The sequence below is a fragment of the Homo sapiens genome, chromosome 18 (assembly GCF_000001405.40).
Source record: "Homo sapiens chromosome 18, GRCh38.p14 Primary Assembly".
In the NCBI taxonomy this organism is placed as follows: domain Eukaryota; kingdom Metazoa; phylum Chordata; class Mammalia; order Primates; family Hominidae; genus Homo; species Homo sapiens.
In genome coordinates this window covers 31,789,045-31,803,091 of record NC_000018.10, presented here as the reverse complement: position 1 = coordinate 31,803,091, position 14,047 = coordinate 31,789,045, and the positions used below count along the sequence as shown (strand labels likewise).

The window sequence follows — 14,047 nt, the reverse complement described above, 5'->3', positions numbered from 1 at the left end:
CTCAGTGGGATTCCTTTGAAAGACAAAAAGATTATCTTCACTTGTAGGAGATGTTTTCTTTCCTGCATAAAGACTAGAGAGTGAAACACCTATTACCTCAATGTAGAAGATTCTGTTTGTGAGTAACGTGTTAACTGACCAAACATACTAGTTGGCAGTATGTTTGAATGAGAACGTTAAAATGAGAATGGCCATGTTTCAGGAAGTGAGAAGTTGTAGTCAGCTTTATATTTATTGGCTAATGGAGCCTTGAAATAAAACATGATCTGGCTGGTATTTATTGAAGCTGTGTTTAGGGGCTGGCATGAGGGAAGCATTTATTTGTATTCTTTTTGTTGCGAGTGAGAAAACCCAATCAGTTCTAATCAGAAGTAATTGGAAACATGGCTATCAACAGCTCCAAACCCCTTACATTTTATAGTTTCTATATGAGTCTACATATCTATATTCTATATATCTATACACATTCTATATGATTCTCTGTACCTATCTGATTATACCATCATGTTGATTCTAGAACCTCTAGATTCTGTATATGATTCTTTCTTGATACCAAGATCTCAGATCCCAGGAATGGGCCACACTGGCCTCACCTGAGGTAAGTCTGCACCCCTGACCAATCCACTGTGGCCAAGGAGCAGAAGCAGGGAGAATGAATGTTCTCAGAAAAAGGAAGGTAGAGGTGAGGGGGAGAATGTGGAGGGAAGGCTAAAAAAGGACATCTAGGGGACATCCAGAAATAAAGGAGGAGAAAAGAAGTGCAGTGACATAGAGGAGAAGAGAGTCAAAACACTCTGACAGCAATACCAGGCAGTGCATTCTCACAGCAGTGGAACTTCACCGGCTGGGCTTCGTCCACAGGCCATACAGAGCAGAGGTGCTTTGTTGCTGGTGGTGGTGATGTTGATAGTGATAAGCAGCTATTAGTTCATCTTATTGTGTTAGGCTCTCAGTGATTATGTATTTATGGAGGAAGAGAGATTTAAAGAATTGCTTAGCTTAGACCACTGCAGCTCTCTGAAGGGGGAGAATACTGCAAAGGAAAATTGAATAAAGGCAATGAGGGTGGTCAAAGAGAACAGATGGGGAAAAGAGGCAAGAGAGAATTGGATAGTGGGGCTGGGACAGGGAACTGTTCTTCCCTCTACTCCCTTCATCTCTTTCCCCCAATGCCAACCTTGAGACGGAAGATGGGAGACTCTTATCTTCTCCATTTTTCTCTAGTATCTTCAGAATAGGAATTTTCTGTTTTTCCTTCAAATCCCTCCCTTCCCCATGCTTTGTATGGTGAAGTGGCATTTAACATGGAAAAGATTTTGGGATTTTGGTGTTTTGGGTGGGACTGAAAAAAGAAAATGCATGTTGTTGGTTTCATAGAACTGGCAACAGGATCTGGGCTTTAAGAGAAATGGATGAAGAGGATCTGGAAGTTTCTTTTAATGTTAACCTGCCTGCTCCCCAGGGTAGGGACAACAGCCCTGTGTTCTTTCTGGAAGACAAGAGGATAATTGGTATTACCATTGTGAAACAATTAGGCAGCTGAGTATGTGATCAGAAAAATAGAAATAGCAGTTTAAAACACTAAAAGTATTGAATAGAAACTAGACATTTCCGATTCCATTTTAAAAAACCATCTCAATTCGTTTTGGGTTCTGATTCCATTTTTAAAAACCATCTCAATTGCATTTTCCAAGTAGATTCCCAGTGAAAAGAGATATTTCTAACTGTAAGTGTTGAAATTAGCTTTCTGTATCAAGTTAGTCCAGTTTGAGCCTGCATGTTGTAACACAATATTCTCTGGGCCTAATCACCTCTGTATGAACAAACATTGAGACTCCAGAACTGCACAGCAGAGGGCCAAAGGCTGGAATATTTTGGAGTAACTCTGAGGCTGTTCTTCACCACCCCTTTTCCTACAATATCAAGAAGGACGTAAAAAGACTTTGAAAACAAAATCTTTTCAAAATGGGTATAAATAATAGAGTGTGGTTTGGAGCTATAGACTTGCCTTGCTTTATGTAATAAATGGATGGTTCCATTTAAAGTAAATAATAATTGTTGATTTATTGCACAAACTTTTTTAGAAACAAATAGAGACAGGATCTTGCTATGTTGCCTAGGCTCATCTTGAACTACTGGGCTCAAGCAGTCCTCCCATCTAAAGCTCCCAAGGTGCTGGGATTACAGGCATGAGCCACCACGCCCGGCCCTGTACAAACATTTTAAAGATAATTAGTTGTATTTCTCATTGATCTGTGAATTAGTCAGTGTTCTCTTGGAGGGACAGAACTAATAGGATATATATATATCTATATATGTGTGTGTTTATATACATACAGATGTAGATATATAAAGGGGAGTTTATTAAGTATTAACATACACGATAACAAGGTCCCACAATAGGCTTTCTGCAAGCTGAGAGGAGCAAGGAGAGCCAGTCTGAGTCCCAAAACTGAAGAACTTGGAGTCCAATGTTCAAGGGCAGGAAGCATCCAGAATGAAAGATGTAGGCTGGGAACCTAGACTCGTCTTCTCCTTTTCACGTTTTTCTGCCTGCTTTATATTTGTTGGCAGCTGATTAGATTGTGCCCACCAGATTAAGGGTGGATCTGCCTCCCCCAGCCCACTGACTCAAATGTTAATCTCCTTTGCCATTTCTCCTTCCATGTAAAGTGCACAACCAGGTGTACTGCTCAAAGTTCTGCCCCCAGGAAGATTTCCCTTCACCGCTGTCCTTCAGGGATGTCCTAGAAAGGGGCTGTAGTGCTGCAGCTGTCCACTTTTGGGTGGTACCTGCATATCGTACAGAACCATCTGTGAACCAGGCCCTAGTTTTCTCTTCCTCTGTCACCTGATCATAGGGAACTCCCCATGAGGCCATCAGTTCAGACTGGGGAAGAGAAGGCAGGGTGGCAGGAGTGGAGACCATGGGGATTTGAGCCACCTTCTCATGTAACTTACTTGTGCCTTTGGGACCTGCTGGAGACCAGTTACATATATACCACTTCCATTTGATGATGGAATGCTGCTGTGCACAACCCACTTTATGGCTAGATGGGTCACAAAGCACCCAGTTCATGACGGGCAGTTCAGGTCACATGGTGACTTGATGACCCATAGTGAAACATTCAGTTTCTTTCTTTTTTTTTTTTTTTGAGACGGAGTCTCGCTCTGTCGCCCAGGCTGGAGTGCAGTGGCGAGATCTCGGCTCACTGCAAGCTCCGCCTCCTGGGTTCATGCCATTCTCCTGCCTCAGCCTCCCAAATAGCTGGGACTACAGGCGCCTGCTACCACGCCCAGCTGATTTTTTTTTTTGTATTTTTAGTAGAGATGGGGTTTCACCATGTTAGCCAGGATGGTCTCAATCTCCTGACCTTGTGATCCGCCCGTCTCAGCCTCCGAAAGTGCTGGGATTACAGGCATGAGCCGCCATGCCCGGCCAAACATTCAGTTTCCACCAAAGCCCAGTAACAGACCAAGAGCTGTCTCTCAAAAGGAGAGTAGTTATCTGCAGAAGATGGCAGGGCCTTGCTCCAAAATCCTAGAGGCCTCCACTGTGATTCACCTATGGAGGCCTGCCAAAGGCTCCAAACAGCATCGCTATCTGCCGCTGACACCTGAAGCACCATTGGATCTACTGGGTCACATGGCCCAAGTGGCAGAGCAGCTTGCACAGCAGCCTGGACCTGTTGCAGAGCCTTCTCCTGTTCTGGACCCCACTCAAAACTAGCAGCCTTTTGGGTCACTCGATAAATGGGCCAGAGTAACACACCCAAATGAGGAATGTCTTGTTTCCAAAAATCCAAATAGGCCCACTAGGCGTTGTTCTTCTAGTCACTGACTAGGCCAGTCTCTCCTTTTCATGTTTTTCTGCCTGCTTTGTATTCGCTGGCAGCTGATTCGATTGTGTGCACCAGACTAAGGGTGGATCTGCCTCCCCGAGCCCACTGACTCAAATGTTAATCTCTTTTGGCAACACCCTCACAGACACACCCAGGATCAATACTTTGTATCCTTCAATCCAATCAAGTTGGCACTCAGTATTAACCATCACAATCTGCAATGGGGAAACTTCCTACATTTTCCTGCCTCAGCTTCTTTTGCGAGTACAATAGTTTGCTTTCCCCAGTTTAATCATTCCACCTTGCCTATGTATAGATTCTTTTATACATATTTTTTTTTTTTTTTTTTTTTTTTAGTTTAATAGAGACACGGTCTCACTAGGTTGCCCAGGCTGGTCTCAAATTCCTTGGCTCAAGCCATTCTCCCACCTCAGCCTCCCAAAGTCCTGGGATTACAGGCATAAGCCACTGTGCCTGGTCCTTTTTTCCCCTAGGTTCACAGAGACACAGATCCTGTCTTAAGGTTGCTAGCAAGGAAAGGCAAATGAGAGGTAAAGTGACTCAACTCACTCATATAAATTCACCTTGAGTTGTAACTCACCTTGTGTTTAAAGCTGTGTTTATAAAAAGCCAAAGGGTACAAAGGAGTCAATATCTGTAATGTGATCCAAAGTCGGCTCTGGATAATTATTTACTTTGATTGCAGATTCTGCTTTACATGTTTAAGCAATATTCTAAAGAGTATCATATTATCAGAAGACAAATCCACGATCCAGCCTTCCCATTCACTCCTTGGGCAAGTCCTTAATCTACATATATTTAAATTTTCTAATTAAATACAAGATGATAAATATCTAATTATATTTACTTTTGTGGACTGATTTAAAATTTTGAAAACAGGCTGGGCGTGGTGGCTCACGCCTGTAATCCCAGCACTTTGGGAGGCCAAGGCAGGTGGATCACGAGGTCAGGAGATCGAGACCATGGTGAAATCCGTCTCTACTAAAAATACAAAAAATTAGCCAGGTGTGGTGGTGGGCACCTGTAGTTCCAGCTACTCAGGAGGCTGAGCCAGGAGAATGGCGTGAACCCGGGAGGTGGAGCTTGCAGTGAGCCGAGATCGTGCCACTGCACTCCAGCCTGGGTGACAGAGTGAGACTCCGTCTCAAAAAAAATAAATAAAAATAAAGTGAAACAAAATATTGAAAACAATGAGAAGTATAAAAAGGCCTAAGACGTTTCTAAAAGGGCCTAAGAATCTAAAATTATTTTCCTATTCTTCAAAATGCATTGTGAGGTTAAGGAGACTGCATTAAGTTAGCTGAATTCATTTATTACATTTATTATATATTTATTATAGTTAATTACACAGCAACATATTTATGTTAAATTCCCAAATATATTGCTAAAATTATATTTTCCAGAAAATACATCCTGATCCTCCAGATGGACATGTGATTTGCCACATGTCCTTGTTGAGGCTCAGAACACAATACCCAAAGTATGGTGTCTTGGCATGCTGAGTACTTTGAACTAAAGGAGATTGGGAGGTCTCAAAAGAAGGTCTTTCTGATCTTTTCCTGGCCTCCCATCTTTCTCCCCTCCTTTTCCCACCAAGTGAGTTATAGAAGGCAATATTCCCCTTTCCCAAGGGGAGTCACAGAAGGCAATATTCCCCTTTCCCAAGGGGAGTCATAGAAACTAGAACTGCTGTTACCCACAGCAAGTCATAAAACCTAGAAAGGTCACTCTAATCTCCCTTTGCCCATGAAGACCCTCATGTGACAAGTGTCCTGTCCTATACCCAGAGGAAAGGAATGCCCCACAGAGAGGCCAAGAAGAATCTGCATCAGTCTTGCTGGGTCCCCCTGAGTCTATTACCATTAGATCACACCTTTTGTCTAACCACATTTCGCACAGCTGTCCATTCTTCATCAAACCTAAGCAAAAAAACAGACAGTTTTCTCTGGGTCTTTGAGTCTTCATTTCCGAAGGCTCCCATGTCATGTAAAACTTTAAGTAAATTTGTTGTGCTTTTCTCTTGTTAACTGTCTTTTGTTATAGGAGTGTTGACACGACCCTTAATGATGAGTGAGGAACGGGATAACTGCCTTTCTAACCCCACATTCTCAACCATTCACTGAAAAAAACTTTCTGTAGTTTAGTCATTTTTCTCAGCAGTCTGGACTTGCATAGCATGATGGATTTTAACAGTTTGATTTTCAAAATTTAACCTAATTTCCCCATCGCAGGGAACCCTGACAACATTCATTTGCTGGCAAAATGAAAACAAAAATTACACCATTTTAGAGACAACGCTCTGCTATCCCTTGATCAGAGCTTGCTACCCTTCTGATTGTCCCACTAAGCTTTCTAATTGACCTTTTTTTTTTAGTGAAATAAACTTGAATTATATTTTGTCACACATCAAACCCTATTCTGACCCTTGAAGATGTTGTCTTCTTATTGTATTTACTGGAATTTAACTGTATGAATAAGTAATCCACTGATTTATGTGAGAAAATCTTTGATATTTGGATAATTTTCCAGTAATGACATCAACTAAGTTTTTATATTCTATTGTCTAAAATAAAATACTTAAAGACTTTAGCTTTCTCCAAATATTTTATAGACCAAATAGAGCTAAATGTATTCATTTGTTCTAGCAAATAAAATGCTATGAGAATAAAAATTGATATATTAGACTTCATTTAGGTTGTTGTGAGAATTATTTAACATATATTTTATTATTTTACATGTATAAATTAAAATATGTAAGGTATTTAATATAGGCTCTGGCACATATAGGCTCTTAATATATGATAGATACTTTTAGTTATTATTAAATGACTCCTAGAGCTAAGTGTCTAAGGTCATACAGGTTGTCAGTAGCCAACCAAGTTTAGAATTCAGATCTGCTGATTCCAGTCCTCGTGCTTCCCACCTCACCATGATGATTTTCTGTTGGCTCCTGGGGCAAGCCCCCGCTTCACCTGCTGAGAAAATGAAGTCATAGAATAGGAGCTCAGCCTAAGCGGGGCCTGAGAGTGCCTGGCCCACACTGCCCCTGGGACAGGCGGATAAGACCACAATTAGTTCAGAATTTGAATTTTATTATGGTGGGTACCAGGACCCTCTCTCCCAAAAGTCTGGGACCACTCTCAGGTTTCAGAAATAGAAACAAAATTCTAGGCCCACTCACCAACTGAATGGATCCCCCACTTGCCCAAGGGGACCCCAGAGAAAGCTTGGAAGCTGAGTTCCTAGCCATGATGAGATGAGAGATTGAACATCCCTCATTATACCTCCTTCCTTGCTGACGTCATTAGGGCTTTCTTCCCTGATGGCTAAACAGAAACTAGCCTTTTTGGTTTTTAATTTTTAAAAAATGTTTAAATTTTTATGTATTTATTTAAAGTTTTTAAAAAATACAAGACAGGGTCTTGCCATGTTGCCCAGGCTAGTCTCAAACTCCTAGGCCCGAGCCATCCTTCTTGCTCAGCCTCTCCAAGTGCTCAAATTACAGGTGTGAGCCACCTTGACTGGCCAGAAACCAGCCTTTCTGAAAGACACCACTGCAGATATCAGCCAACAGCCAGATGCTGCCCTTCCCTTTTGCAGTGTTGACACCACAACCAATCAGGCTTCCTTCCTAATGATAGACCACCTACCACAGATTGGTTCTGGCCAGTCCACAGAGGATGCATAGTGAGGGTTTTTGTGTCCTCTACTTTACTTTTTGATGTTAGAGGGCCAAGATCGGATCGTGCCAATGCCGACATTTTTTGGGACCCATGAAGGGGCATGAAGCTCAGCTGCACATGCACGTTTCTCCTCTCATAAATATTCATGACTCCTCCTACAGCTTTTTAAATGTGGGGGGTATTCATATCAGAATTACCTGAAGAACTAAGATATATTTATCTATGGCTAATTGTCCACCCTGCTTGCATAAATTCCTGTTCCCCTTCCCCCTCCCTCAAAGTGTCTGTTTCTGGCTTCTGACTGAAGGCTGTGCTTCCCAGCCTGTCAGAATTGCCACCATACAGGCTGCAAGTCTTGCTGAGAAATTAAGCTCTCCTTTCCAAATTTATGAACCTCCTTATTCTTCAGTTACAGGTTACACAGAGGAGTTTGAGAACTGCCTGACTCATAGAATCACAGATTCTATCCACAGGAAGATTCCTCTAGCTCAATGGGAAGGAACAAAGCTTTGTTCAAAGCTCATCCCTGTGACATAAGAGGACATAGAAATCAGGATTTTTTTTTTATGACTTTGTGTTCTCTCTGGGCATTACCTTCTTTCTGATAGCACATCACATATATCTCACCAGGTGAATCATATGAATTCTGGTTCATACAACCTCATGTTCCAAAAATTTTAAGTGGCTTGGGACTTGGCCGGTAGTGAGGATTTTGAATGGATTAGAAAGTAGTAAAACCTAACAGATGGACGAGGCGTGGTGGCTCACGCCTGTAATCCCAGCATTTTGGGAGGCTGAGGTGGGTGGATCACAAGGACAGGAGATGGAGACCATCCTGGCCAACATGGTGAAATCCCATCTCTACTAAAATACAAAAAATTAGCCAGGCGTGGTGGCACGCACCTGTACTCCTGGCTACTTGGGAGACCGAGGCAGGAGAAATGCTTGAATCCGGGAGCTGGAGGTTGCAGTGAGCCAAGATCATGCCACTGCACTCTAGCCTGGGCAACAGAGTGAGACTCCATCTCAAAAACAAACAAACAAAAAAAACCCCCAAAAATAAAAAATAAAAATTAGCTGGATGTGGTGGTGGGCACCTGTAGTCCCAGCTACCCGGGAGGCTGAGGCAGGAGAATCTCTTGAACCCAGGAGGCGGAGGCTGCAGTGAGCCGAGATCACGCCATTGCACTCCAGCCTGGGAAACAAGTGAAAAGCTGGTCTCAAACAACAAAAACAAAAACAAAAAAACCCCAGATGTAGCAGAAGTGTTCTAAAGCAATTAGCTGAGATATCACAAGCTACAGAAGGAAGGTCATTATGCAAATGCAGGGCCATTAAATGCCAGTCTTTTTAGCCTAATGTCAGAACCTGCCTTATACCCAAAGGATAGGGGGATAGTTGCATGTTTTCTTTCAGCACAATCCACCTCATGCTGTCTGATCTGTCCCCATTAAACCAGGCTAACGGGTTTTTCTTAACAACAAAGACCAGCAGATGGTTTCTGATGTCAATGATGTTCATCTCGTATTCTGGTTTGGTTTGCTTTCACTACCTCCCTTCTCTGCTTTGAAGGTTATTTTTTCCTCAGTTTCAGGGTCAAGGAGACTCATAAAAATATGCAAGGCAAATAATGTTTTTAAAATGTAGCCCATTTTCACCTTTTTTATGTCTCATTGGCTGTAATGTGTGTTTGTAGAGACAAAGTGTATCCATTTTGCTTCACCAGCTAACAATACAAAGAATGATAAATGGCTGTTATTCCTCCTCCTCCTCCTCCTCTTCCTCCTCTTCCTCCTCCTCCTCTTCCTCCTCCTCCACTTCCTCCTCCTCTCTTCCTCCTCTTCCTCCTCCTCTCTTCCTCCTCCTCCTCTTCCTCCTCCTCCTTCTCACAGTCTTCTCTTCTGAGAACCTGGCCCCAGTAGTGTTACCTTGCCTGAGGACTCCTTGCTGAAGGAGGAAAGGAGTAGGTACTGTAATTCTTTGTCTAGTTATTACCCAAATGAAAAATTCCAAGATAAATAGTGCTTGCATCTCAAAGGGTGAAAGGATAGAACAATGGCCTTGTGCTGTTTCTATATACTCTCTGTAACAACCCAGGCATAGGATGGCACCAAATCAGGAGGAATATAAAGGGAAGGTGTTCAAGGCAAGTAGGAAAGTGCAATGGCATGAGGAGGCTTGACAAGAAAGGGCAGACAAAGCTGCGGAGACAAGCTTCTGGTTTGGATCAGCAATCCTAGAGGGGAAATGTCTTTGAATTGGAAGCTGAAGATCTGGGTGCTAGATCAGTTCTATAGTTCTACTAGTACTAAAATCTTGCCTCAGTTTCCCTCAGCAATATAACACCACTATCTTTCCTCAGCATATAAGAGACATATGAAGCCCTTTGTAAACTGTAAAGCAGAATCTAAATAAATATGAAGTCTCAAGAGCCATACACTAGAGATAGCCCAGGTGGGAGCTACCTGTGGAATTAGGAAGCAGCTGTCCTCTGCTCTCTTTTTGCTTTTCCAACCTGCATTCCTTCTTTTCCATAAACCACAGCTTCCCAGAAAAGTACTCTCTGGTGACTGAGTTTCTCAGATTCAGTGTTTCTTCTTCCCAGGCTCTGGGTTTCTTCTTCCTGGGCTCTGATGAATGGCTTCTCATTATCCAATACCCATCTATTACCGTCACATAGACAACATCCTCTGCTCACCTATTCTGTCTCCGATGTGTCCATAGCAGTGATAAAGCTAGTCTCCTTTTGTGTCCAATCAAGCATCAGTTGCCCTTATGTGTTATTCCTGTTTATGGCCTGGGAGAAAGTATAACCTCTAAAGTAACCTTTGAACAGGGTGAATCACATCTGTTATGTTGTAATTTATTGGTTTAACACTCAGGAGTCAATATTGTATCTCCTTAAAATTTATCTGGGCACATTTCACAGTCACATCCATATACTTGGCATCTTTAGAAGGTGGAAGTGTCAAGAAAAGGGAGGTTTTAAGACTGAGGGTAGTGTTGGCTTTTGCTATTGCAGTGTCTGAGCCGTGAAGCCACATCACATGGTGAGTGTGAGGGTTCCTCCCCTGCGGGGAATACCTGTTTCTACTGCCAGTCATCCTGAGGTAGGACGGAGTGGGAGAGGACATCCCCTCGGGTGCAATTGGGTCTGAACTTAATTTGTGGGGATGCCTAGAGGTGCCTGGGGAGTCAGGCCTACTCTTATTATGAGGAGGTCTATTGCAAGCTCTCCAGGAACTCTTGAGGTTATGGTCAGTAGCAGTTATAAGATAGTTTCCACATCATTTTCTGTCTTCCTACTTTACTAAAAATTAATAAAAGCCACTGTCTGGTCTGAACTGTCCTCCGGGGAATTAGTGGCAACAGGGTCCCCACACTGAGGGCAGAGTGGAAGCATTAGAGTGGGCATCATGAGGGACAGCTGTCCCCACCAGGTGGCTATTTTACAAAGATGGTCAGTGTTGAGGGTTAAGAAGCAACAGGGATCTGTGGCATAGTTCCCTTGAGGCAAGACCTAGAGAAACTCCCACAAATAACTGGCAAGGCGCTTTGAAGGAAGTGGACCAGTGGGTGTTAGAGTCATAATAAGTTGAATAAGCAAAGAGGATGTAAACCTATTTTGTGGTCACAGGCCCATGTCACTGGCAGCATTGAGTTACAGCAATGTCTTTCAATACTCTCCACTTCTCTTTCTTTTAAAACCATGCTCACCAAGTGACCTTCAGATAATAATTTAGCTTCCCAAATATTTGCCAACAGGGAGAGAATGCACTGGCATCGACGGAGTGCGCTCCAGTTCTCCTGGAGGCTTTATTTTGCTATGTTAATCAAATTATTCTTCTGGTCTACACAGCAAATTTTTATGAGTTTGGTAAATATGAGTCAGTTCTGGAATGATTATCTATCATGTAAACAAACAAAATTAGATTTTAGTCCTGCAAAGACGAAGGTGAGATCCTGGGCCATGCCCTCTGTGTTAGTCTCCTAGGGCTGCCATTACAAAATACTGCAGACTGGATGGCTTCAAAGAAGCTTATTTTCTCTCAGTGATGAAGGCTGCAAGTCCAAGATCAAAGCTCAGGCCCAGTTAGATTCTCCTGAGGCCTTTCTCCTTGCTTCGCAGGTGGCTGCTTTCGCACTGTGTCCTCACATGGTCTTTCGTCTGTGAGTGTGCACCCCTGGGGCTTCCTCCTCTTACAAGGACACTAGTCGTGGGGGTGAAAGGATAGAACAGTGGTGGTGTGCGGTTTCTATATACTCCTGTAGCAACCCAGGCACAGCACCACGAAGGATGGCACCAAATCAGGAGGAATAGAAAGGGAAGGCTTTATATGCAACTATCCTTTGGGTCTAAGGCAGGTTGTGACATTAGGCTAAAAAGACTGCCATTTAATGGCAGTATGAGCAAAATGAGGTAATGACTTCATTTAACCTTAATTACCTCTTTGGAGTCCTTATCTCCAAATACAGTCACATTAGGGATTAGGGATTCAACATATGACGGGTTGGGGGAGGCGGGCACACAATTCAGTCCATAACACCCTCACTCTCCTGTCCCCCACTCCAGGAATACCACTCCGTGAGGCCTGAAAGAGCTAATTGCTTTCCCTAAATGACCCCTGTCTTTTAACCCCTCTCTATGGACAACATCACCTCCCCGCACCTTTCCCTGTTGTCACCATTGATTGAACATCAGGAATCTCCCAAACACATGATGACTCTCACCCCAGAATCAAATCCTCCTTTCTACCCTCACTCCTGCTGCCACCCTGGGTGACTTCCATGAGTGTAAGACCCCACGCCCCAAACTCACATCTTTACAACCATCTCTGTTAGACCTGTGTGTTCAGGTTGACCAGTTGAACTACTCCTTTCTTCAGCATTTTCAGCTCGTAGATCCATTGTGGTTCCATACAACTCATTTTGTAGGCCTTCAATCTTGGATACATCTTAAAGTCCACTTTCTATTCTCCAACAACAGGGGGCTGAGTGTTTCTGGAGAAAATCTAAGTCTTTAGATTAGTACAACAATTAATCTACAGTCTATGACCTCATTTGGTCATCAGAGAAAATTCATTTTACTTTCCTCTCTCTTTTTTTTTTTTTTTTTTTGAGACAGGGTTTCACTCTTGTTGCCCAGGCTGGAGTGCAATGGCACAATCTCGGCTCACTGCAACCTCTGCCTCCCACGTTCCAGTGATTCTCCTGCCCCAGCCTCCTGAGTAGCTGGGATTGCAGGGGCCTACCACCACGCCCAGATAATTTTTGTATTTTTAGTACAGACAAGGTTTCACCATGTTGGCCAGGCTGGTCTTGAACTCCTGACCTCAGGTGATCCACCTGCCTCAGCCTCCCAAAGTGCTGGGATTACAGGTGTGAGCCACCGCATCTGGCCTAACCTTCCTCTCTTAATGCTTTCTTGCAAAGCTCTCACGAACCTTCCCCACTTTCCTTAGACCTCCAAATAATACTATGTGCCAAGCGCTATTCAAAACACCTCTCATGTATTAACTTATTTAAATTAACAACCCTGTGGGGGAGATACTATTATAATCTCACATCCCTATTTTATAGATGAGAAAATTAAGGCACAGATAAGTTATGTGACTTGCTTAGGATCACATAGCTGTTACCACTAGGGAACGTATCTGAGTCACGTGGCACCTCAGAAGAAAGAATTTGACCCAGGGGCATTAGGCAGACTGAGAGACCCAGGCAAGTTTTAGAGCAGGAGTGAAAGTTTGTTAAAAAGCTTTAGAGCAGGAACAAAAGGAAGTACACTTGGAGGGCCAAGTGGGTGACTTTAGAGATCAAGTACATAGTTTGACCTTTGACTTGGGGTTTAGTACATTGAGTGTGCTTCTGGGGTTGCGTTACTTCTCCCCTGATTCTTCCCCTGGGGTGGGCTGTCCGCCTGCACACTGGCCTGCCAGCACGTGGGAGGGGCCGCATGTGCAGTGTGTTTACTAAAGTTGTGCGCATGCTCACTAAAGGCATTCTTTCCTTACCAGTCGAGTGCTCCTAGAGGAAGGTCATATACCAGTTAAACTCTGCCATTTTACCTCTTCGTGCACATGCTCGAGCCCACTCACGCAGTTCCTGAGACCTTATCGGGAAGCTGTTGATCACCAGTTTCAGGTGTTTTCTGTCTACTAGGAGACTGCCTTTCTCTGGCGCTGGCTGCAACCAATTATTATTTTAGAGAGACATTTAAGAACTGCCTGACCATCATCTCCTGATGGTCGCCTGATATTCCTGTTGGGGGTGGTGGGGGGGACCCCTCCCACGCTGCTCATGTCTGCCTACCTACTGTAACACGGCTACTAAGTAACAGAATTGGCATTAACCAGGATTCTGTCTGCAGAATCTCTTAACCACTACGTGGTATTGCCTCTATCCATTTCCTGGACACTCAGGCTTTGACCAAGGTCCTTTTCCCCTTTCAGAGGGCAAATGAAGGCATAGACACCATTATCTTCTTGTCTTCTGCCTACT

At 43.4% G+C, this 14,047-nt stretch overlaps 1 annotated feature.

Annotated features, from left to right (window-relative positions):
• Positions 10,462–10,521: an enhancer, noted in NCBI's record as "active region_13207". NCBI's record gives its function as "activates an Ori minimal core promoter by ATAC-STARR-seq in GM12878 lymphoblastoid cells {active_cell/tissue: GM12878}" and the evidence as "EXISTENCE:reporter gene assay evidence [ECO:0000049][PMID:35858748]".